Consider the following 25594-nt stretch of genomic DNA (forward strand, 5'->3'; position numbering starts at 1 on the left):
TTCCAAGCATTCTTTAGCTGTTGTTTCAATATGTGATTTGGTCTATCTATATACCTAGATCTATAGATATATAGACACTGGTGTTGGCATCCAGATATACAGACAAAGTAATGCAAGGGTTGGGTGCAGAGAAGTGAAGTCAGGGAGAAGTGGCTGAACGAGGAAGAGCCAAACATATCATTTTCTCTTTTGGTCTTTATCTCAAGGACTCAATCACAGTCCTCTCAAGACATTATCATGTCCAAGTTCCAAATTGGGACAATGAATAGCCGTGCCATGTCTCCCCTCAATCTCAGGGGGCCATTTTTCCTCCTTGGCTCCTTTTTCCTCCCCCTGTTGCACTGACTGCAGCCAGCCCTCCAGCCCTCTGGCAGGGAACAGGAACCATAGCCTCTACCTCAAGACAGACCAAAGCTCACCCAACCAGTGGCACTGGCATGCAGGTCTTATTTCAACCACCATATGGCACCCTCCATAGCTCCTCATGATCACATTCCATTATCACTTTCACAAGGCTCCCCGCCCTCTGGCTCCCAGACCACTTGAAGTTCTAACTCTATTATCTTGACTTAATTTAGTACTTCTGCTGCTTTCAGGCCTGGTGCTACTGGACTGGTAAATGTTGAGGGGTTATGAACAAAACTACATAGACAAAGGCATGGGCTCTTAGTAGTGGGTATTATGGGTGGAGCCAACTAACTGTAGACTTAATCTTGCTTAAACAGTTATTGATCCAGTAAGCATGAGATTAAGGAAATTAAAGCACTAAATTAATCATATGATTAAACCTGAACTTCTAAATTTTTAGTTAAGAAGGCTCAGTTAAAATTAGCTTCTCAAGGATTCTAACACCCCATCAACATAAATCTTTCATAAGTGATTCCCAAGGCTCTATTATAAAAAAGGACATCAAAGCTCTTCCAAATCTTCTGGTGTCCAAAGAATGTCAAAGAGCAATAGAGTAATCCCCACAGAAGAACAACACTTGGTGCCATAATTTTTAAATTAGCACACAAAATAAATGTATGATGGAGCAGAAGGAAAAAAGCAGATTCCATTCACTTACAATATCGTGAATACTTTTCTATGCTGATGAACAACTACTTCTCAATCTATGGCTGATTTTCACAGAGGGCTTTTATCTTTTTGCTATTAATATTTTTACTATTTTCCACTTCAGGAGAATCCCAACCCCAAATCTCCTTATTTAGCAAAACCTGTCATCATGTCACATGATGAATTTATTTGACTCAATTTTAACAGGAGGATTTGCCTTCAATTTGTCTCATACTCTCCTTGGGCACATGTGGCTTCCCTCCTCGACCTCAACTGGAAGAACTAAACTCCAGACTAAACACCTGGGGCTGCTCTAAGTGCTGGCCATCAGCTGACCACTGATCCTTAGTGCTCTGGTTGGCTGTCCTGCAGCACAGCTGGCAGAGGAGAGAACCTGTTCCAGTGGATCACCGGGGCTTTCTGCATGTTTTGTCTGTACACAGGCTGGGATCATTGGGAATTTCAGCTGCCTTCTGTAGGGGCAACACAGAACAGTCAGCCCCAAATCTAGGCTGGCAGGGGTGGTGATCAAGAGGTTATTAAAGAGTAATGGGCTTCGTTGCTTATAATAACATAGCTCTTTGGCATCATTTAGAAGAGGAAGAACTATGATGTCCTGACACCAGTCCTAAGGGGAAAGGACAATATGGGTTGAGACTGAGTGTTTGGTTGGTAATAGTGAAAATTCTGACATCAATCAGAGAAGGCTGTTAATAAAAATGAAACACTAAAGAAAAGTATATCTGTTCATAAAAACGTGTAAGGGGCCAGAGAGAATGAAGGTAAGGAAGACTAGTAATGCACCTGGAGGAGTACAGAAAAGAAAGAACTAAGAAGAAGGACCCAATGGCCCAATAGTGCACAGGTTTAGGGGTAAAAGGAGATCCCCTAATATCTACTCAAGCCATGTGCTATTAGATATTTCCTGTTTGTGGCTAAGTGCCTCGGTTACTTAGAACATGTTATTACCATATCCCAAGGCATAAGTTCAGTTCATTCATTCATTCAACAAACATCTGGATTCCTGTTAGCTACCAGGAACTTGATTAATTGCTAGAAATATATGATCAAGGCCCAGTCTTGTCTTTGATGCAATCATAGTCTCGGAAGAGAAAGAAAGACAAGCAGATAATTATCCTGTGCAAGAGAGGTGCAGATGACAGCTTTGAAGACACAGAGAAGAGAAGAGAGTAGCTAAGTAGATAGGTGGCATTAGAAAACATTCCACAAATAGGGCAACATTTCTGCCAAGTCTTAAATAGTGAAGCAATGCCTGCTTGGCAGAGAAGGCAGGAGTGGCCTGTTCAAAGGCTGGTATAGAGTTGTGGGAGGATGAGTGAAAGTAGCTGTGGGGCTGGGGCTGGGGCTAGTGTTAGGTATGAATCAAGAGAGACCATGTATGCTAACTCTGATTGGGAACTTTATATTGTAGGATTGGCTTGGGAGAAATTACAAAGGAATGAATTAAGGCAGAGGCTCTGGCATGGAGTGTGGCACAGGCAGTCATTTGACAGGGAGACTTGATAGGAGGAGGCAGCTGACTTGCTACATGGGAGGAGGAAGAGGGGTGCGAGGTACCACGATGACTGGAGCTGGTAAGTACATCCCAAACTATGAGAACAAGCATCGGTGGAGGGCTGAGAAAGAAGATAAGGAATTTACTTTTGGACGTATTGAGTTTGAGATGCCTGAAGACCATCCAAATGGAGCTGAAATATGGATTAGGGGTTCAGAAAGAAGTCAGAATTCAAAGAGATATGGCCAACATTTTCTGGGCCATTCTCCATTTCTTGTATTCTTTTTCAATAGGGTAATTAATTAGATGTAAAACTAAGTGGGATTTAATTTTATACTTATGAACTTATACACTTTTTTTCCCTATACCAATCAAAAAGCAAAACAAAAACAAAACAAAATAAAATCCCACAAAACCCCAATAACTGTGTAACTCAGGTTTGGAAACCACTCTCACAGTATTCACACGGCCCAGTTTTACCTCTCTCATTGCTGCACACACTGTCCCTGAACCAGCCATTTGTCTTGCAAATGAAAGTTCCTGGGCACACACGAAAAAGGACTCTGGAGGAGTGCTTTCATCAGCATTAATTCATCATCATTAGGGAAAAAGCACCTCTAAGAGTATGCCCTAATGAATGTCATTCAAAGACAGCATACTTTTAAGCTCATAAATCAGGATGACTACTGGTATTGATGTAAATACACTATTCATTGCTTATAGCAGGAAACACCAGAGAGGAAGTCCATGAATTAGATGACCACTGACTACCTCTCTGGTATAATTCATACTACTTACTCTATCTATATACAATAAAACCTGTTAAGAAGTTACTATCAGAACAGGCTCTTCAAAACTTTGCTTCTCAGAGAAAGATATAACCAGCAAACAAGATGGCATTGGCATTTGTTCAAAGCAAGTAGCTTATAGAAGTTGTGCTGCAGGCAGAACAAATTGAGACCTACTCCCTACCCAATGCCTTCACCACCTCAGTGGTCCACAGAGTGGTGGCCAGAGGCCCCACACAATCCTGTATCAGATAAAAAGCATAGATTCTGTTTGATTGCCACTTACTTATTCAAGAAAGTATACTCAAAAGTTTTGCAGGTAAAGGGAATTTTTTTTCTTTGAGGGATAACATTTTCCCAAATCTTCTATTAGCAACTGAAAGAGCTCTCCATCAGAAAATTTAAATTTACCCCTCACACTTTGCAAATCTTTCCCCCCCAATTCTGTGTTTTAATTGTTTGCCTAAATTAGGTTATTTGAGGATCATAAGAAAATTAAAAATGATAAATTCTTCAGAAGTATGCCTGAATGCCAGTTTTAGATATCACAGTAGAGCCCCTAGTATACCCAGCAGCTGTAAATGACCTTAAGGGCAGGATAAACAGAGCCTTGATGAAGTTGCTAATCACTCCACAGAGCTGCAAACCCTCACTAGTGGTTATTCATTAGCTTACACATATGTATGTGTGGAGATACATACACGCACCTAGCATACACACATTACACACATATATGTATATATTCTTCCAATTTTAAACAAACCCATAAGACTAATTTAACAACTTTTTTTGCACTTTTCCCCACCCCAAAATGTTTGGACATTTGCTGAGTTTAGAGCACACTTCTTACTGATAGAGAACTTTACAGACTATCATGAGAAGCGCTGGTCTTCAGCCTTCTCTGGGAGGGAAAGCTCAGAACAGAATATCCATTTATCCAGGAACAGACCACACTGAAGCAAGCTCCCTGGGAAAAAGCAGCCACTGGGTGCAAAAGCTCAGATTTCTGGGCTGCACAAGACTCCTGAATTTCAAGCTCTGGGCAGGAATGCATGGGAGATGAAAGAGAAAGGTTAGAGTCCTCTAGAGAACACGAACACAGCCCTTTTCCCTTCATGTCTTGCCGACTGCCTTCTTTCTCACAGGCCCTGCACCTCTTGTATTCCTTGTTCCAGCTAAATAGCGGTGAAAGAGCCTTAATCCAGTTAGTGTCCCAAATATCTGGAGAAACTGATTTAGTCCTTAAAGGCAGTAGGCTTGCCTAAATAAAGCACCTCAAACAAATCTTCCAAGCTTAGTTTTTGTTTTTTAATGCTATCTGGGCTCATGTTAGAGCCTCAACTCTGCAGGGTACACAGGACATTTTTCTTTTTTTAAGGGATAACATTTTCCCAAATCCTCTATGAATAGCCCATGAGAGATTTTCAAAGGGATATGACACAAATGAAATAGGTGACCTCTCCCACCCCAGCTTGTTTTTGTTGTTTTAAAATACTAATAGCTAGGGGAGAAGGGACAGAAGAAAAGTGTAAGGCTTTAGATGTAGTGCTGGAATTGGTGAGCCTTGGCTTTAGACTGAAGAATTATAATGGAGGGAATGCAGTAAGCGATTCCAGCTCTCAGGATACCCAGAGGAGCAAGACAAGGTCCAAGGGAGAAGCGGTATGTGTCGGACAGCACATAAGAGGAAGCTGCTGCTATAAAAGAGATTCCCAGACAGACTCCTGCACATTCACTCGGGTTCTGGGTCCTGAGCATGAAGGAGCTGGCAGTCAGCCTGGCAGAAAGCCCAGGAAACAGAGAATGAATACGGTCAAACCCATACTTTAAGGAGGGATGGACCGGAATTTCAAATAGAGGAAGAAAAGGGCATTCTGGGGTTTTGTCTTGAGATATGTTAAAAAAAGCCTCACATGACATTGTGAGTCCATTACAGCCCACTTAAAACTGAGGCCAAGACACCAACAGCAGACATCATATTACTGAACTTCCTGGCTAGATGAGGCCAGATATTTGTTGCTTTTAGGGCAGCATCCCCAACGTTTTTGGCACCAGGAAATGGTTCTGTGGAAGACAGTTTTTCCATGGACAGGGGGTTGGGGATGGTTTGGGGATGAAACTGTTCCATCTCAGATCATCATTAGTTAGATTCTCATAGGGAGCATGCAACCTAGATCCCTTGCATGCACAGTTCACAATAGGGTTCACGCTCCTGTAAGAATCTAATGCCGCTGCTGATCTAACAGGAGGCAGAGCTCAGGTGGCAATGCTCACTCACCTGGTGCTCACTTCCTGCTGTGCGGCCCAGTTCCTAACAGGCCATGGACAGTACTGGCCCAGGGGCTGGGGACCTCTGTTTTAGGGAATGGAATTTGAATAGAATAAAGAGAAGCCTACTGATCACAGTATATAAAAAAACAGGATGTTTTAAGCAAATTTCAAGCAAGCAAGAAATGATCAAATTGTTCAAATAAAACAGAAAGATATTAGGTATATAGTGACTTTTAAAGATTTGCATCACTCCAAGTATACTCCAGGGAATTGTAGAGCCCTTTATTAATGCATATATTTAAAAATTTTGGAAAGTAAAGCAATACATGAGATTATAAATCTAATAGTTCCTCAAAATATATAGCATTTATTAAGCTTTTTAAATCCAATAAATCTCCTGCCTAGATTACCCCTACTGACTAAATGAAAGTAATGTATATACAGAAGAAAAAAGGGACGATATAAAAAAAAAAGTCTACCTTCCCATCTTGACAACTCTACCAAGTTCTCTTTTTAAAGGTAACCAGTAACCACTATTAACAGATCCTAGCACATCCATCCAGAAAATAAGGTTATGCATATAGTACAAACAGTGTGTATTTTTCTATGAGAAACCTTTTTTACTTACACAAAGGTGCTAATATTATATACGCTATTCTGTACCTTGGTTTTTTCACTTAATATATCTTGGAAATCTATTCATATGTATGTTATCAATAAGGCTGCTATAAACATCTTCCAACATATCTTCTGAAATCCTTACATAAATATCTTTATAAAAAATTCTTAGCAGTAGAAAGGCTAGATAAAAGAGCACCTGAATTTTTAATTTTGAAAGGTACTGGCAAGTTGCACTCTATGTCCCTGAAGTGTTTTTCAGTTTGTTTCTCTTACCCTTTGCCAACAGTGCATAATCAAATTTAGCTTTTGCCATTCCTGATAGATGACAGAAGGCATGAATTACATGGTAACCAATTGTCTGCACCAGTGATATGTATGTTTGCAGTTTCCATTACAAATAACAGAAACAAGTCCAGACTCATTGAGCCTGCCCTGTATTCAGTTGTTGGCTCGATGCTAAGTCATCACATAGCAGCAGGAGGAGAGACCTGGTTTCTGGGGATCTTTTCTTCTTTGTGACCCTCGAAACGGCAACCCTGATCTCCTCTGAGTCTCTACTAACTCCCTTAGTGGTTATGAAAATCATATAATGGTAATAGGAGATTTCTTTCTTTTTGAGACGGAGTCTCACTGTCACCCAGCCTGAAGTGCAGCGGCATGATCTCGGCTCACTGCAACCTCAGCCTCTCGGGTTCAAGTGATTCTTCAGCCTCAGCCTTCCGAGTAGCTGGTATTACAGGTGCGCACCACCACACCCGGCTAATTTTTGTATTTTTAGTAGAGACGGGGTTTCACCCCGTTGGCCAGGCTGGTCTCGAACTCCTGACCTCAAGTGATTCACCCGCCTCGGCCTCGCAAAGTGCTGGGATTACAGGCATGAGCCACCGTGCCCAGCCCTGTGATAGGCAATTTCTAATTACTTAGCCCTTACTGGGCTAGGCACTATGCTTGATGATTTAAAACAGTAGTTATCAAAGTGTGGCCCCTGGACCAGCATCATCAACATCACTTGAGAACTCACTAGAAAGGCAAACACTCAGACTCCAGACCTACCAAAGGTGAAACTCTAGGGATGGGGCCCAACAGACTCTGCTTTAACAAGCTCTCTGCATGATTCCAAGGCATGCTAAAGTTTGAGAACCTCTGATTATCTTACCTAAGTTTTGCAACGACTGTCTGAGGTAGGTGCTAGTATGAATGCCCATTTCATTGATGAAGAAACTGAGGTTCACTGAGACGAATATTTACTTGTCCAAGGTCATATATTTAGCAGTGGTGAAGTTGGCAATGGAAATTACATCTGTCCAACTTCAAATCATGTATTTATACCCATTATATGATGGGCCAAAGTCTTATGAGCTCTGTGGTGTGTAATGTGCTAGACTTTGTACTACACACTGGGGATAAAAAGGGCCAAATATGCAGCTGGTCCTTGAGCTGCTCAGAGTCCCTGGGGGAGACAACATATATATGATTGAATCGCAAGATGAGAATTGCTTAAGAGAGCTGCAGAGGGTGCCAAGGGAGGCCAAGAAAGGCTTAAAGGACCCCTTGGCTGAAACTTGCAGCTAAGTTGAATTTTCAATGCAAACAAGCCAAACATTGGAGGTTATGATGGAGCAGGAAGCTGCATTTACCTCTCTACAAAAGTGTATTGAGGAACATGAGCCACAGTGCAGAAGAATCAAAGTGTCTGGAAAAAAAGTCCCTACTTTTTTTGTGTCTACCAGGCTGGAACCAATTTCTCTCAGTGTGTGCCCTCAGCCTTCTCATTTTGTCTAAAATCCAGTCTGTCCTACTTTTTTTGAAATAAAAGTCATTGAATAAGCCTCAGCAGGGGAAACTTACAGAAGTGGGGCCAAGGGAGTGTTTTTATGAATACAACACTGTTTTGGGGGTTGCATGTAGACGGGAAGAGAGAGTTGGGAAATCTGTGTTGGTCAAGTCTTAGCTCCATCGCTAACTAGCTGTGTGACCTGAAGAAAGTGTCCATCTGTTTGAATCCCAAGGCAAAGGGGGCTAGGCTAGACCATCCTGAATCTCCTTTCTGGCTCTGGGAGCCTTTAGAACAGGGCTTAGCAAACTTTATAAGGAAAGGAACAGATAGCAATTATTTTTGGCTTTGCAGGTCATACATCTACCTTGCTATAGAAGGTGTCTACACACATAAGTGGTTTCTCTCCTTAAATAGAAATCCTCTCACTTTGTCTGTGGCTACTCTTCCATGATTCTCCCCAGGTACAATTTTCTTTGGTTGGAAAACAAACACTAAGTTGTACTTCTCTTTCAGTTACGCAGAGTCAAGAACACATCATCTCTGCTTTAAAGTAACTTTACTGACACCTTACTTTTCCTCAATTTGAAAGTGTCTTGGCTTTAAAAAATCTTTGTAAAAATTTTTTTTATGCATGGATTTTGTCCAGTGTAGCTCAGAGACTGTTTCCCAGAGTACCCCAATGCTATCAACACACATTCCCCTCGCCTGATGTGGGGCAGTGGCTAGAGTCCAGTCCTAGACCTGGGCTCATATCAAAGTGACAGAGTTTTCATCTTTAGCTCCCAGAAGTTATACCTTTCCTGATTTGCTGAATTTCACTTAATATGCACTCCAATTCTTTATTGTTCCAGAGTGTAAGACTTGATTTCTATCTTACATTTTGGTATTATTAAAGATTTTTTTAAAAAAACATAATGATTTGACTCAGTGTATATATTTTCCACGAGACTGAAAGGAAGGATACCAAAAAAAAAAAAAAAGAAAAGAAAAAAAAGACTCATTTCAGTTCTGGCAGGCATAGTGTCCTCCACCATCACCTTTGGCATCCTGTGAAACAGAACATTCTGTGCTCATCCTTGATGCTGAAGTTTTTATACATATTATTTTCTCTGGATATTTATTCCCTGAGACCAAAGAGGTATTTTTTTAAATGGAAATAATGTTTCCAGCACTTAATGCATTGGCAAATACAGCCATCAGTACAATTTTGAGGAGAAATAGAAAACCTGTCACATTGCTAAAGCAGTTATGGGGAATTTTTTCCCATGGATGAACTACAGCAATGACTGCTACAGACATGGGCAAACATTTTAACACTTCATAAAATTCCTTTTTGACAGCAGGGGACATAGAAGCCAAATTTCCCTTGGTGGAAATAAAAAATGTTTGGCTGAGATGTTCCTAAGAAGTAAATGATTTCAGAAAGAGCTTTTCAGGCAGAAGAAATGTGGACGAGGACACCAATCTGCCTAAAAGGGGGATCACAGTACACAGAGATCAGAAACCCCTCACATTTCACTCTAGCACTTAGCACACAACTTGACACTTGATAAATATTTGTGGAATGAATTTAATCATTCAGACACTTGAGGCTTTTACAATTTTACCCAAGAAGATAGATGAGGGCGTGACAGTGGAGAACTGTCAGTGCCCTGCGCAGCTGTCTTTGACAATAATTCTGACCAATCTTCAGCACCTGCAGAATGCAATGCACATAACCTCAGGGTTGAAATGTGGCTTAAAATTCACAGTGTAGCCCAGGAGGAGTAACCTTCACAGCAAGGTATAGGCAGAACATTTGCACAGAGTAATATCTGATTGCCTGTTCTATGATCACTTTAGGAGCTTTGAACCTCATGGTTGGGTCCTGGAAGATACCTGTATTTAGATATCCAGAGACGATAAAGGATCCACATGGTTGACATAAGAACTGTGGAATCTTAAGGGTGGAAAGGAACTTTAAGGGATTACTGGTTAAACCCTTTTATTACAGAGATGAGAAAAAGGAGACTGAAGTTGCTTAAAAGACTTTCCCAAAGTCACAAGGCTAATTAGTGGTCAAACTTGGATTAGAACCAGATCTCTCTGCCTTGTCAAAAGTCTTTCCACCATTTGCAGCTTTTAAGACCTAAGATGAGGCTGATGCCATTACCTATCACAAATGTATAAAGTTGCATGACAGTTCTAACCTTTCCAATCTCCAGGTTGAAATGATATTGATAACGGTACTCTAATACTCCTACTGTAAAATTCTCAACTAAAGTATATGCCGTATGCTCCACTTTAAAGAGAATGGCATATTAGAGCTAAGATCATTGAGATCACGGTTTACTAAAAAACACTTAGGCTGTGTTCTGCAATATTAGGTTCTAGCCCAATTTTCAGCACCACGTTCCTTTCCACCTGTGATTGGTCAACAACCAATATTTTTTTTCTTAGGTCTTCTATGTGCTTACAAGAATTATGCCAGGTCCAGAAGTGGCACAGTGAGGTAGAAAAGAGAACAGTAAGTGGCTCATGTCTCTATTTAGCCTAAAATCTTGCTAGAGGGAAAATCAAGCAAACAAACCAATAAACTTGATGCACATAAAATAATTAGAAAATAAGTAAGTCCTCAAGTAGATAGTATTAACAAGCGCTGCAGAAGGTAGGTGAAAGGGAGATGATTATGGGTTATAATGGATAAACAAGGTTTCATGGAGGAAATGTGATAGAAGTGGACTTCAATTTTGGCACTTGGAGGAGGGGAAATAGTTCAGGCAAAGGAAACAGCACAAGCAAATGTGTGGAGGTAGGAAAGAGGGTAGTGCCAGAAGCAAATACTTCATTTTTTAGCCAGATAGCAGCATTTATACTCAGTGTGATGACAGCACACCTCTTCAACTCTACCTATAAGCTGTACCTTTACATTTATAATATTCTTAATTTTCATTTTACACACACACACATACACACACACACACTTAGAAAGCAAACTGTACAAGGAGCCAAGAGTCTTGGTTCTAAACTGCCCATAAACTACTAAATGACCAAAGCCTCTCACGTCTGCTCTCTGAGACTCAGTTTCCTCCTCTGTAAAATGACAGGGTTTGGCCCAACCCTTTAAGATCCCTCTTAGCTCTAACATTCTATAATTTCTGCTTTTTATCCATGCTCATTATATGTATGGCACATATTCTTAAATTAATGTTAATCAACCCTTCTGCACTGCTGCTGGCTTTCCCATTTGCCTTTTCTCCAGTTTGTTCCCTTCTCTCTTACCAGGAAGCATGTTGGGAAAGTAGCAAAATGGGGATATCATGGAGTGTTTAAATTTTTATTAGATATGTGTGTGTTGTAATTGTTAAAAGGCATGCAAAACTTATCATCTTGGCATGCATATTAATAACTGAATGTGGTAGTCCATGCTTCCTGAACTTTATAAACAGCTCCTGTACGAGCTTTGAAATGACAAGCTTTGTTCATAACTGAGAAACTGAAAGTGGGCAGGCCTATGGGGAGTTTCTGTGAAGTATGCATTTTTAAAAAGCAAAGATAAAAACTCCAACGTCTCCGAGTTGGAAAACCTGGGGAAGTTTCTGGCAAATGGACGGGTTAAGAAATGACATAAAGATGAGACTAGGATGCTATCGGGATAAGGTGACATGACAAAGATGATTTACCTGTTCCGAATTTTTTTTTCTCTTTCTTCTATATCTAGGAAATGAGGTCTATCCAGCTGGCCCAGAAGGGAGGAGAAAGCCCCAGGTGCCACAGCAGGATAGACGATGTCCTCATCTAACATTTTTCATAACTGGACATCCATGGTCAGAAGAGAAAAATCGCCCTACACAGAAGTGAATGGATGCCATACTCCCCAAAATTCAGGTTGGGTTTTTTTTTTTTTTTTTTTTTTTTTTTGAGATGGAGTCTCGCTCTGTCACCCAGGCTGGAGTGCAGTGGCGCCATCTCGGCTCACTGCAAGCTCTGTCTCCCAGGTTCACGCCATTCTCCTGCCTCAGCCTCCCGAGTATCTGGGACTACAGGCGCCCGCCACTGCCCCCGGCTAATTTTTTGTATTTTTAGTAGAGACGGGGTTTCACCGTGTTAGCCAGGATGGTCTCGATCTCCTGACCTCGTGATCCGCCCGCCTTGGCCTCCCAAAGTGCTGGGATTACAGGCGTGAGCCACCGTGCCCGGCCTCGGGTTGGGTTTAATTACAGCCCCCTGACACTTTAAGCTAAGACTTTGCTAAAAACAATGACTGTTTGATATTTAATAGCTGGTCCTGGGGTGAAGACCAGAGATATAAAAAAGGTTAGAACTTTCATAAATACGGGCAGAACTAAACACCAACAAAGCTAGAGGGTAACTGATGGACTTTGATGGAGACCTTTGAATAAATCACAACTTTTTCTTTATGTTATTATGAATGACTTGTGACGTTTTTCAAACAACTTTTGTTAAGCACTGAACTTCAGGAACGGTGGCTGGAGAGCAATCTAGGCCAAACATTTGAGCCTATGGATCCTTTCCAAATGAAAGCAAGAACAAGTACACAAGCACAGAAAGGAGATAGGTGCATCTAATCCAGCTCATGGATCACATCTGAAGTTTCCCTTGTCCTATTCAACCAATTGGTTATTTCCAGCCAAATCCATAAGGGGACCCACATGCTTTTACCATGCTTTGAATTCTGCAATGTACCTGATCTTCCCTAGAAGCTGCGGAGTGAGCCCTCCGTGTTTGGCTTGTTTGCGGCCTGCTCCACTAGTTAGCCAGTTTGCCAATACACCTGCTTCCAAACCACCTCACAACAATTTCCCAACATGCTTGGCTGTTTAGTGGACAGGCTACCATGGAATGCCATGAAGGACGGCATTGACACTGGGGAGATCTTTCGGCACTGACACTAAGGAGATCCTTTATGTGGAGAGGGAGCAGTTGGGGCTGCTATGGAATAACCAGGAGATTTCCAGCCACCTGGGAGAAGGAAAGCTGAGGTGCAATTCCTGAATACTCATGCTTAACAATTCTAATCTCATTCTAAGGGAAGAAGCCAAAATGTGATTCCTGTGGTATTTGCCAGGAATATTAATGCAGACAAATGGGGTGTGACTGGTTCTGCTTTTGGAAAATGCAGCAAGTGTGTCAGTCACTGAGGACTTTAGCAGTTATTGTTTTACAAGCATCCCCAAAGTCCTGACATCAAACACATCTTACCACACTGAACAGAGCTGTGGAAAGCAAGAAGTACAGTTGAGACACAAACATAGCTCCACTAGAGAGAGGGAAATTCGGGACAGGAAAGGAGAGGCATTTGGATTAAAGGATGAGGAGATGTGTATGTACCTACCATGTTAGTCAGGTTACTGCTAATAGTTTCACAGACTGGGTTCCTTTTTGCAGCCCTTTTTGTAAAAGCACATAGAAGAGAATGGAAAGTTCTGAGGTTGCTCAATGAGATATGCAATCTTCTGGTTCTGCCTCACAGGCTTAATTCTAGCCCAGGCTCACATTTAAGGTATCCCCCATCTTCGAGTCATCCTGAAAGATCTTGGCTGTCAAAGACTCACAGGAAGGCTCCTCAGAGTCTCCATTGCTGGGATGTGTACACCGTGGCCAGCACTGTAGGATTTTCACAATCTCGGTTGATATCTGCCAACTGCTGAAATACTTCTCAGAATCAAATTACAGGGCTAAGGGGGACTCCCAAATAGTAACAGGCAGATGGTAAATACAGAGGTTGTTGGATGGTTACAATTGGGGATACTACAACGTAAATTTCTGATGATTCTTTCACCCCAACTCTCCTAATATTTCCTAGCCTCTGACCAAGAATTTGGTAAAGTGTGGCAATTTCCAATAAAAAGTACAGCTATTGAGCTTTTTCTCTGATTTGCTTCATTATGCATGCAAGTTGAAACCTTGTTTCCTGCAGATGATGCTAATATCAATGCCAAACTACTCAACGAGGTCACCAGAAATTTCTGAACTCACTGTTTCAGGGTTCCCTCCTGCCTGTCTTCTGATCTACTCATTCATTCACTCACTCATCCACCAAATATTTCTTGCATATTTCTATGTTATAAGGCTTGATATATATTGATGACTTGATATATATTGATGTCTCTTCCTTTGTGATGCCTGCTATAATAACTAAAAGCAGACATATCATGAAATCACTACTCATTTGGATAAGTGTTACAAAGGACCTTCATAAAGATTCAGTGGGCTGGGCACAGTGGCTTACACCTGTAATCCCAGCACTTTGGGAGGCCGAGGCGGGCAGATCACGAGGTCAGGAGATCGAGACCATCCTGGCTAACATGGTGAAACCCTGTCTCTACTAAAAATACAAAAAATCAGATGGGCGTGGTGGCGGGCGCCTGTAGTCCCAGCTACTCGGGAGGCTGAGGCAGGAGAATCATTTGAACCCGGAGGCAGAGGTTGCAGTGAGCCGAGATTGCACCACTGTACTCCAGCCTGGGTGACAGAGTGAGACTCCATCTCAAAAAAAAAAAAGAGAGAGATGCAGTGATGGCAAATCTACTAGAAGAGGGTGGACCAGAAAAACCTCTCTGAAGAGGTGGCTCTTGATCCAAGACCTATAGGATAAGAAGAAGTCAAGCACACAGAGTATGGGAAAGGGCACCCCAGGCAGAAGGAACAGAACGTATAAAGCCGAGTGGTGGAAGGTGGTTTTGATGGGCTCAGGGGGAAAGGGGCCAGTGGAAATGATGCATGGTGAGTCTGAGGATAACTGAAGCTAAAGAAGTGAGCACAGAGAGCTCTGTCAGCTAGGGACAGTGAATATTCTCTAAATGCAATGGGGAGATACTCAAACGGTTTACTGGGGAAGACATGACCTGATTTGTATCAGATGGAATGTGAAAATAAATCAAACTAGAGTAGAAGTAGAAAGGGAAGCACTCTGTATGGCAAAAACTGCAAAATTCTTCCTAGTAGCCATTCTCCACTCCTGCCTTATTATGAGAACTCCAATTTTACTCTGGAGAGCAGCAGGCCCAGTCAAAAATTATATTTCTCGCATTCTTTGTAGTTAGGCATGGCCAGGTATAATAATTCTGCCTAATGAAACCTACATGGAAGTTGGCTGGGGATGGATTTTTGGGCAAGTTTGCTTTCTTGCTATAATGACGCAACTCCTTCCTGTGTCTTTCCTTCTCTTTTCTTATGTGATTTCAGCTGGAAAAAGAAGATGTGATGGCAGGCGAAGCAGCAGCAACCATCGTAGACAACTATCCAGGTAAAGCGAATAGCACCAGAGAGACCTCAGACCTGGCAGCCTTGAACCACTGGACCAGTACCAACAAACCCCACATCTGGATTTTACTGTGTCCAGAGAGAAACATCTTCTACTTGTTTCAGATACCGTTTGGCAGAATTTTCTGTTACTCACATGTGGATGCCGTGTCTAACTGACACATCAAGTAACCAAAGCCTGACTTGGGTGGTGGCGGTTACAATGAAGAAGGGTGGGCCGAATCGGGGTATATTTTTGAAGGAAGAAACAATGGGACTTCTTGATGACCTAGAAGTCAGTTGTGGTGGTGGGAGATGGCAGATATATAAAAAGTACAAGACTTTGGCTTGAGAATTTATGAGAATGGGAAGGAAAAACCAGAAGAGGAGCAGGTTTGAAGATTAAAAGCAAGGATTCCACTTTTGATATTTCAAAGTTGAGGTGCCTAAGAGGCAGTCTCCACTCCTGTGGTTTCCAGGAGACAGGATCTTGCTGGTCCTGCCCCACCCCTTCATTCACTCCTTCTCAGGGAGTGATGAGCCAGCCTGCCCAGGGGGAGTGCCTGTTCTGCTCACCCACTCCCTTGTTTAGGCATCCAAAGTGTAGCCTCCAGGTAATGTGGCTGGGGCCTTCAGTGCTGCCTGAGGCTGGATGCTCAACACAACGTCCAACATTCAGAAGCCAATTATTGCTGTAAATCTCCACGTCATTTTCCAATTTGGTGGTAATACCAAAAAGTATTTGTAGTCCCACATACTACACTTTTCTGTCCCTCTCTCAGTTGCTTCAAATATGGGCCAACTTACACCTATATAATGACAGGTAGACATTTTGCGTTCTTTCAGCCACATCACAGGGGCATTTTAATAGGTGCCTCTTTCAATAGTTACTGCCAAAGAAAACGAAGTTCTCACCTATTCATGGCTGCCCTCTTATCTTTATTGTTAGAGCCAAGGGTTGAGTCTTCCTTGCTCATTAGGACTATAAACTGCATGGAAATTAGAACTTATTTAAAATTGATGCCAGTGAGCAAAAGATAAAAACATACAGTAATCATTTCACTGTTCAGGCATATGACTTCTTACCATAACTCTGAAGAAAGTGTATTATTAGAATTGTTTTACTATGCTCTCTCTCATTTTTCTCTACCAGTTCACTCTTACCTTCCCTCCATCCACTGATCCATTCTCTTCTTCCCTCCTTTAAAAACTGCTGTAAATATTGCTTTTTAAAAATTCTATCCCTAATAACCTTAGAGTTTCTAGACATACACTCTTAAGTAAAGGGCCATTCCTCAAGGCTGGTGAATCTAGGTAATGTGGTCTGGTATCAGTCTGTGTGAAGACAGAAGTCTTATTTTTCCTATTCCTTTTCTTTAAAGACAGATTGGTCTTATACTGGATATTTGATCACTTATCGGAATTTACATTTGGGAATTTGTTATATCATATGCTACGCTGCTGTAAAACCTGTCTTTGATAAAGTCATGTAAGATACTTTTACATTTAAGATCTCAGTTTTGCCCTCTCTTCCATCCTATCCTGACAGATACATTATTCCTTGTGTTTGCACTGATGAAAGAGGTGATAGGCATTTTGGCACACTATATCACAGAAAATAGTACTTATCTTCAGAATGGAAATATACATCCCATATGTCACTACCACATAGGGCCCTGCACCTGGTATGGAATGGAGCATGGCATTGTTACAGTGTCATTCAATGGCTTTTACCAAGCAAGAGAACATCGGCAGCTGTGATGCATGATGCCACTGTGACATTAACTACAGACACAGATAGAGTGCCCATAAAAAAAATATACGCCCTTTTTTTGAATAGAGCCCTGGGTAATTACCCTGACTATTGTTCTAAGAGAAAGCCCCACTTACACCCCTTCATCATTTAGACTCTGGACATAAAAAAAAAATCACTGGCATTGAGTAGTTAAGGCAATTTGCTTTCCAAATGAAGAAAGGACAAAAAAATCTCTACTCTTGAGTTGCCCATTTTGACAGCCACAGCTCCCCCAGATAAAAGATCCTGAGGAGTTTTTCTGATAGTACCCTTTTCCTACACAGAGCCCAAGGAAAATGTGTTCAAGTTTGCTTTCTACTGTCAGCACTAGGAGGACATAGGGGTCTGTGCGGACAGCCTGCAGGTGAACGGTGGCGGCCCTGCAGCTATGATATGAACCATGGTGGGTCCAGCAGGCACAGATGCATCTAGCTGCCCTGCCCTGGTGGCCAGGCTTGCTGTTCTGAGGAAAAGCTACAGAAACGTTGCTCACCTTGAGAAGTAAACTCTCAGGGCAGGGTCCGTGTTCCTCCAAGTTGCCACAGAACATGAAATAGGTTATGAAGTTTGCCATTCAATATGGAGTAAAAATGGGAAATTATTGAACTACTTACCCCCAAATGAAAAAGTAAAATTAATAAAAAAGAAAAGGCAAAATCACAACAAAAGAGATGGCCCCCAAAATTTTACTTACATTGAGTGAGAATCCCAGTTAAGGCATTTTTAAAATTCTCCTTGGCTTCCTCCATCTCTTGCTCATGGGTGGCTTTTTCATTCATTAGCCGGCGGACGTGGCTGTTGGCCGACTGCACCATGGAATAGAACTGGTTTGCAGAGCGCCGATTCACTTCCCCTCGTTCAATCCAGGAAAGCAGCACTGTGATAGCCTCTGAAAACTTGCTATCATCTGGAAATGGAAAACCACCAAGTACAAATCATGCCAAGATGAGAAAATACACTTTATTCTTGTTCCTCTCAAAAGACAGAGCATAGTCCAACCTAGTGGATATATTTTCAGAACTCAGCAAGTTAGCTTTCCTGAGACTGACTGCCATATCATCACTTAACTTCTCTTTTCCCATCTAACTTCAGGGCACCACAGAACCACTCAGGAGGTTCACACTCTCATCTACCAACTCCATGAGCTCAGCTGTAGGAGATTTGTTCTGGGCATTCTTAGGAATAAGGTACAGCCTCATTCTTCCACCAAACCTTGATTTCTCTTTCTTAAGATGGACTTGAAAAACTGTTACTAACCTACTTGGCCTCCACTTCATTTCTTTGTTCCTTTATCAAAAATATTATACAGTGTTACCAGTTTTCTCATTTATAGAATCAGCTGAGTTAGTATTAAAATGTGGAAGAAAGATTGGATTTTTTTAAAAGTGTTTGTAATGTATGGTATTGTCCCTAAGGCAGGTAGTAGGAATAAGTCAATTCTTGTTCTACTGTAGTTCAAAACTAATTCCATTTTAGGGCTAATACCATATATTTAATTAGGCTGAAAAATAGAATATTTCCTAATTTTCCACAAAAGAGAACATGTTTCCTGAAGTGTTCCGTGTTTGCTTTAGATGGCTATGGAGAGCCCATCTGAACCCAGTTTGAGATGTATGTGCATGGTGTGGCGGGGGGATAGGAAGTGGGAAATGAAGTTCCGCCTGAAAATAAGTGATAAAGTCTATTTCAAAGAAAACAGACTTGCCTATTTGGGGATGGTTACTGGAACAAACCCGTGTTGTATGGCTTGGAGGTGGAGAAAAAGAAAGTTTGTGGGTGATTAAGTTAATTAGAACTGGAAGTTGTATGTCAGTTGTTAGAACATTAACCAATCTGACTACTGCTGAAGGCTCATTGCCTACTTTCCAGGCAAACCTGAGGGGAGAAGCTTTTCATTGTGTTCTGCAATCCCTAGAAAATGTGCTTTAGGGAAAAATACCCTACATTTTTACAAGTAAACTAGGTAGACTCTGAATTCTAAAAATCAGGAGCAAAATTAGATTGAAAGATTCAGATTCTCACCCATTCATTTAAAAAATACTGAGTGCCTACTGTGTGCCAGGTACTGTCCCCTCCACTGGAGGGGCATCGGAGACATCCTTATGTTGTTTGCATATAAACATACATACACTCCACATGAATAGACAGGGGGAGATGCATGCTTGAGAAAAAGATTTCGTTTCACTCACCAGATTTTAAAATCAATCATTGAGTTCTTATTAGTATTTTACACATCATACGAAACCTTCCCACCGTTGAGTGCTTTGTAAATTTATAGGGTGCTTTACAAACATCTTTAGTATCTTTTCTCCCAAAGACCTCCTCCCAGACCAGGAGTACAGCTTCCTTAGCATGGCTGCTGCTTGCCCAGGAGGTGTGTGTCCTGAATGAAGGTGGGGCTGAACCTAATTCAAGGTCCTACGGCTGAACTCTGGAAACCTCTGCCTTCCCCAGGAAAGAAAGCAGCTTTTAGGGATGTACCCATGCTCAGGCACCATTCTAAGTCCTCTCCTGCTGCACAGCAGCCTTCTAGATTTGGGGATCAAAGGTTTTTTTTCTGAGCAAACCTGCCCCCCTGCCCTCACACTTTAACCAGAGGAGATAACTGGCCTGGGAATGCCCACAAAACACCCTGTGAATGACAGACTCAAGTTTCCTTGAAAATCTCAACCCATAGGCACAGAACACACTTACTGAGTATCGTAGCCACTTATACCATTTTGTTAACTCTGGAATTTCAGTCTAAGTTCAACCCTCAGTGAACTCCAGCTGCAATGGTTTCTTATCTCATTTCATGGACCGAAGCAGCTTGTGTAAGATAAAATCTATCACACAACTTAACATTACGTTCAGCCCATGGAGAGGCCCATAATTTAGCATGATGTTTGTGAGAGGCCCACTGCAACCGTTACTGGCAGAATAAATTGTGCCTCCCTCCACACTCTCTACCTCTCTTCCCACCAATATATGTTAGGAGAATGGACCTCAGAACAGACAGCAGAAATAAACCTAATGCTTAGAAGAAATCTTTTTTTTTTTCCTCTGAAAAGATAACAACAGAAAAAGAGAACACTGACTTCATGTACTATTTTTCCCCTTTGCTGTGAGTTTCATGTCTACATAACACAGAGAAAGAAAAATCCTTAACATTTTTGTTATGAGCTTTGCAGGGACAGAGTGTAATGCTGTTCACCTCTTTCTGTCATATACAGGTAGTTTTTCCTTCTCTTGCTTGTGGTCGCTTAGTTCATAAATAGACTAACTTTACTATCAGGAAAAAAAACACTTCAATTTTAAAAATGCATGTTTGCTCAAATGCTCTGAAAGCCACATTTTATTGCCCTTCACACCTAGACCTAGAGCACAATAAGTTCACCAGCAGATTATAGTTTCAGAAAGAGGAAACAATATTCTTAGGATTAAGCCACTGAAAATACACAATTTCAAAAGTAAGTAGCCAAGAGATTTTCTAACATGTTAACAAGTACTAGGAAGCAGAATTCCATTAGCCTAAAAGAGGAATATAGTTTCAAAGACTCCCAATTTCATCTTCATTTCTGAACTTTCTGAAACTGACAGGCCGATATATGATTGATGTACTGACATTCAAATTAAATTAAAAAAACATTAGTTAAGGCATGCTTGATAACTCCAGTCAATATTTGTTGCCATGTAAGAAGTGACTTTAATTTATATTAATTAAGACTAAGTCAGTAACTCCCTCTGGATGGCTACAGGAGGATATTGGGAGCGGTCATTTTCAATACTCAACTGTAAATTCAATTTTGTATTCAGTGGAAAGATCACTGAGAAAGCAGAAAACAATATAAACTAATTTAAACAGGATTTAGATTGCAGCATTATTAAAGCTATTCATGTGGAAAGAAATTAACACTGCTTGTAAAAATCACATCAAACATGCACTTATAAAAATTCCAAATACTTTCTGTGAACATGCTCAGGCATAACTCTGAACTGGATGCAGTTTAGAAGCTAGAATGTGCAGATGTGCTTTTTCCACTATAAGAATTGAGAACGATTGGTATATGATGGAGTGAATATAAATCATTTGCTCATTAGAAATTACCCACCGTTTTCTAATCAGGTCCTCACAATGTTAATGCACCTGAGTTAATGGACAGGTCCATTCACGGGTCTTGCCTTTTTCCCTTCCATCCGTCCGTCCCCGCTTCCTTTGCCAGAGCCCTCTTTGTTAAACAGCACGGCGTGCCTCCCTGCATCTGCTCATGCTGTGCACTTATCCTTGGGTCTCTCCCACTCCTGGTCCCCCTGGTCAGCTGTTATTCTTCCCTCAAGATTCAGCGTAAGTGCCCTTTAATAAAGAAATCTCTTCTGCAACTCTAGGATGAATTAGGTGTCTCTTTGCTATGTTTCCACAATTCCCCGCATATCCTGCTATTAAAGCATTAGTCGCACTGTATGGTAATTGTTGGTTTACAGATCTGTCTCCAGTTTTGAGGGGCTAATATGAGAATAAAATTTCCAAAGACATATTTCTAGACATATTTCTGTCTTCTGGTTACTCTGAGTTTTTCCCTTTGTATTTTATATTTTATTGCATTCTACAGTAGTTCCTCCTTATCCACAGTTTCACCTTCTGAGGTTTCAGTTACCCTAGGTCTCAGTTAACTGTGGTCAACTGCAGACCGAAAATAGTAAATGCAAAATTGCAGATACAAGCAATTCATACATTTTAAATTGCACACTGTTCTGAATAGCATAATGAAATGTCACGCTGTCTCACTCTGACCTGACCGGGATATGAATCATCCCTTTGTCCAGGGTATCCACGTTGTCTACACTACCTCCCTGTGAATCACTTGGTAGCCACCTGGGTTATCAGATCCACTGTAATGGTACAGCAGTGTTTGTGTTCAAGAAACCCTTATTTGGCTTAATAATAGCCCCAAAATGCAAGAGTAGTGATGCTGGCAATTTGGAAATGCCAAAGAAAAGCCACCAAGTGCTTCCTTTACGTGAAAAGGTAAAAGTTCTTCACAATAAAGAAAGAAATTGTATGCTGAGGTTGCTAAAATCTAGGATAAGAACAATTTATCTATGAAATTGTGAAGAAGTAAAAAGAAGCTTGTGCATAGTATATATAGTGTTCAGTACTATCCATGGTTTCAGGCATCCACTGGGGATCTTGGAATGTATCCCCCAAAGGTAAGGGGAGACTACTGTATTCCTAATAGATTTGTAGCAATTAATACTGGAAAGATACAAATGTAATGGTTAAAAGTTAGGAAACATCAGAGTTGATAATAAACATTTAAATTTCATGTCAAAGAGTATTTTCACACATGCCATTATCTACGAGAGATAGATGTTCTCATGACAATTAAGCTGAATGATCCCGTTATACTTCAGGCTTCAGAAGTCATTATCACTGGCAATGAAAGTTAAGAGTGATGTCAGATAATCCCACAGAAGCAAGGCCCTCTGCAGTGAGGCACTAAACAGTTTATCAAATAACTCAAAAATGTTTTTGAAAGCATTTTTAATTCTGGGAACGTAATTGCTCTTTAGCTTTGTGAGGAGTAAATAATATTATAATGATACTATCAGATGTCACCACTGGAATCCACGCCCATCTCATTTCATTTCTGGTTATTTCAGACTTTGTTAACCCCCTTCCTTCTCCCTCTCTTCCACATTTATTGAGTACTTGGCACATAGTAGGCATTACAAAACTGCATATGGGAGAACTCTTTGCTATATTCTAAGACCAGGTGCAGGAGCAGCCTTTGTGAGCTTGTTAAAAACACAGACTCAGCCTTTCTCACACCTCCAGAATTGGAATCTGCATTTTACTCCAGGTGATTTGTACGCACATGGAGGTTTGAGAAACACTGAAGAAAGGACTCAGTGAAGGCCAGGTAAACTGGTTAGGAGCTGACCAAAGTAAGAGATAATGAAATCCTGAAGTGGAAAGTAGCAGCTGAGATACTAGAGACTTTCAAAAGGAATAGATGTGATTCTTAAGAGCTTTGTGAGTCTCTATCCCTGTCCCCACGACCAATTAAATCCCTGTCCCCACAGCTGTCACTTCTATCCAGGAAATAAAAAGGGTTCAAGACTTGGAAATGGGCATAGAGATTACTATAGACCCTTTCTATGGAATGCTGGGCATGAATTACCTAATTCTACAGGGGGTGGGAAACTTTAATTCTTTGGCTAATCTCTGACTAGGCTATTTTACAACTTTGTAGGAGTAGAACATAAATTGTGGCAAACTGATAACAATACAAATAATTCGTCTCTGTAACAATGCAAATTAATTTTTGTTCAGTAGAAAATGTAAATCTTTATAAAGCGAATTCTCCTTCGAAACAGTTTTAACATTTTCTTGGTCTCCTTATTAATTAGTGAGTTAAATAAAATCATTGGCACATGTTCATTTTATATTTGTAAGACAGTCATGATTTCACCGCCACAGTATTCTTTAACAAAAGACAGGGCCCATGCTACAGTCATATCTGAAAGTCCAGGGCATGGCACAAAGCGATGGGTACCTGGTGAATTTTAATTAAACTGATACATAGATAATGATGGGGAAAATAAACCAAATTGGTAAGTGTTTTTTGTTTTTGTTTTTGAGATGGAGTTTTGCTCTTGTTGCCCAGGCTGGAGTGCAATGGCATGATCTCGGCTCACTGCAACCTCCACCTCCTGGGTTCAAGTGATTCTCCTGCCTCAGCCTCCTGAGTAGCTGGGATTACGGGCATGCGCCACCAGGCCCGGCTAATTTTGTATTTTTAGTAGAGATGGGGTTTCTCCATGTTGGTCAGGCTGGTCTCGAACTCCTGACCTCAGGTGATCCACCCATCTCGGCCTCCCAAAGGGCTAGGATTACAGGCGTGAGCCACTACGCCCGGCTGGTGTTTTTTTCCTCCCGCTTTGTGTGCACAGGGAGAAGCAGCCCTGAATTTCAGAACAATAGATAGGATAAGAGCCAAGCCGGGAGCACTGAATACGAAACTTAGGTGGGCTATAGTATCCTTATTTACAGCTGGGTCTATAAAGGAACAATGAGGAGACAGGGATTTTATGTTTGAACGGAACGAGGGAAAACAAGGAAGGCATTCTAAAATGCTTTTCTTTCCAAAGAAATGGAGGGACACACACATGTGTACACACATACACACACAAGGAAAGGTATGTCTGTAGTTATCACTGATTTCTGGCTCCAAAGATAGCTGGAAATTGCTCACAGTGTACAGTCACAGAGTCATCTAAGCAGATTTGGAATTTCAGTATGGTCAAAGCATTGCTGCTATCACAATCCCCAAATTTCTGTACATGTCCCTAAAGAAGTCTCCTTTTCCTGGCTGCTCAATTAACCCCGCATCAACTAACCAGATCACAGACAGCATAAAAGGCTAAACAAAGAGTTAATGTTCCCTTCTACCCCCAAAACACACATGCAATCTCCTTAACTATTTAGTAGCTGTAAAAATGAGAAAATTAAGGGGGCAATATGAAAATGCACTGATTATTCCTGCTTTAGGGTCGAGCAAAATATTTCTTTTTATTTTATTTATTTATTTTATTTATTTATTTATTTATTTTTTATTATACTTTAAGTTTTAGGGTACATGTGCACATTGTGCAGGTTAGTTACATATGTATACATGTGCCATGCTGGTGCGCTGCACCCACTAACTCGTCATCTAGCCTTAGGTATATCTCCCAATGCTATCCCTCCCCCCTCCCCCCACCCCACCACAGTCCCCAGAGTGTGATATTCCCCTTCATGTGTCCATGTGATCTCATTGTTCAATTCCCACCTATGAGTGAGAATATGCGGTGTTTGCTTTTTTGTTCTTGCGATAGTTTACTGAGAATGATGATTTCCAATTTCATCCATGTCCCTACAAAGGACATGAACTCATCATTTTTTATGGCTGCATAGTATTCCATGGTGTATATGTGCCACATTTTCTTAATCCAGTCTATCATTGTTGGACATTTGGGTTGGTTCCAAGTCTTTGCTATTGTGAATAATGCCAAGCAAAATATTTCTAAATAAAACGGCCTATCTTGCCTCTATGAAGGTCAATAACACATAAGGAAATAATTTGCAAACAGGCTCCTATGTTTCATATTTCCCTTACTCTATGAAGGAAGCCTGGCTTTTAGCTAATGGGACATCCACTTGGCTCATAACATTATTGATTTTTACTTTCATGGAACCATAAATACTGACAACCATCTCAGCAAAATGCTGGTACCACATCTGCCCCTTCCTCCCTCTGGCAGGCTGACATGAGGCTATTCTATATGCAAATAAGAGTCCAGTTCTCTGGAAATTATGAATGTTGATCCCAGGAGGATGGTATTCTTGTTGACACATCAGGAAATCCCAAAGGCCCTGCCTGCAAGGCTTTGTCAGGACGTCACCTAATTCAGAGAGAAACTCTTCATTTCATCACAAAATGAAAGATTATGTGAAGCTTTCTAAGGGGGTACAAAGTACGTAAAAACTTTTAAATGCTCTTGCC

At 41.1% G+C, this 25594-nt stretch overlaps 1 protein-coding gene across 31 annotated transcripts in view; it reads right to left on the bottom strand.

Annotated features, from left to right (window-relative positions):
* ENOX1 (ecto-NOX disulfide-thiol exchanger 1) overlaps positions 1-25594 on the bottom strand; it is a 573843-nt gene that overhangs the window by 113645 nt on the left and 434604 nt on the right. For all 31 annotated transcript variants that reach the window (XR_007063686.1, NM_001347965.2, NM_001347963.2 and 28 more), the window contains one exon: positions 17764-17976. Coding sequence is in view for 30 of the 31 variants with exons in the window: in NM_001347965.2 (NP_001334894.1) it covers positions 17764-17976 (213 nt within the window). In the remaining variant the exon portion in view is untranslated. The remainder of the gene's footprint in view (positions 1-17763; positions 17977-25594) is intronic.

Source organism: Homo sapiens, chromosome 13 (assembly GCF_000001405.40).
Source record: "Homo sapiens chromosome 13, GRCh38.p14 Primary Assembly".
Taxonomy (NCBI): domain Eukaryota; kingdom Metazoa; phylum Chordata; class Mammalia; order Primates; family Hominidae; genus Homo; species Homo sapiens.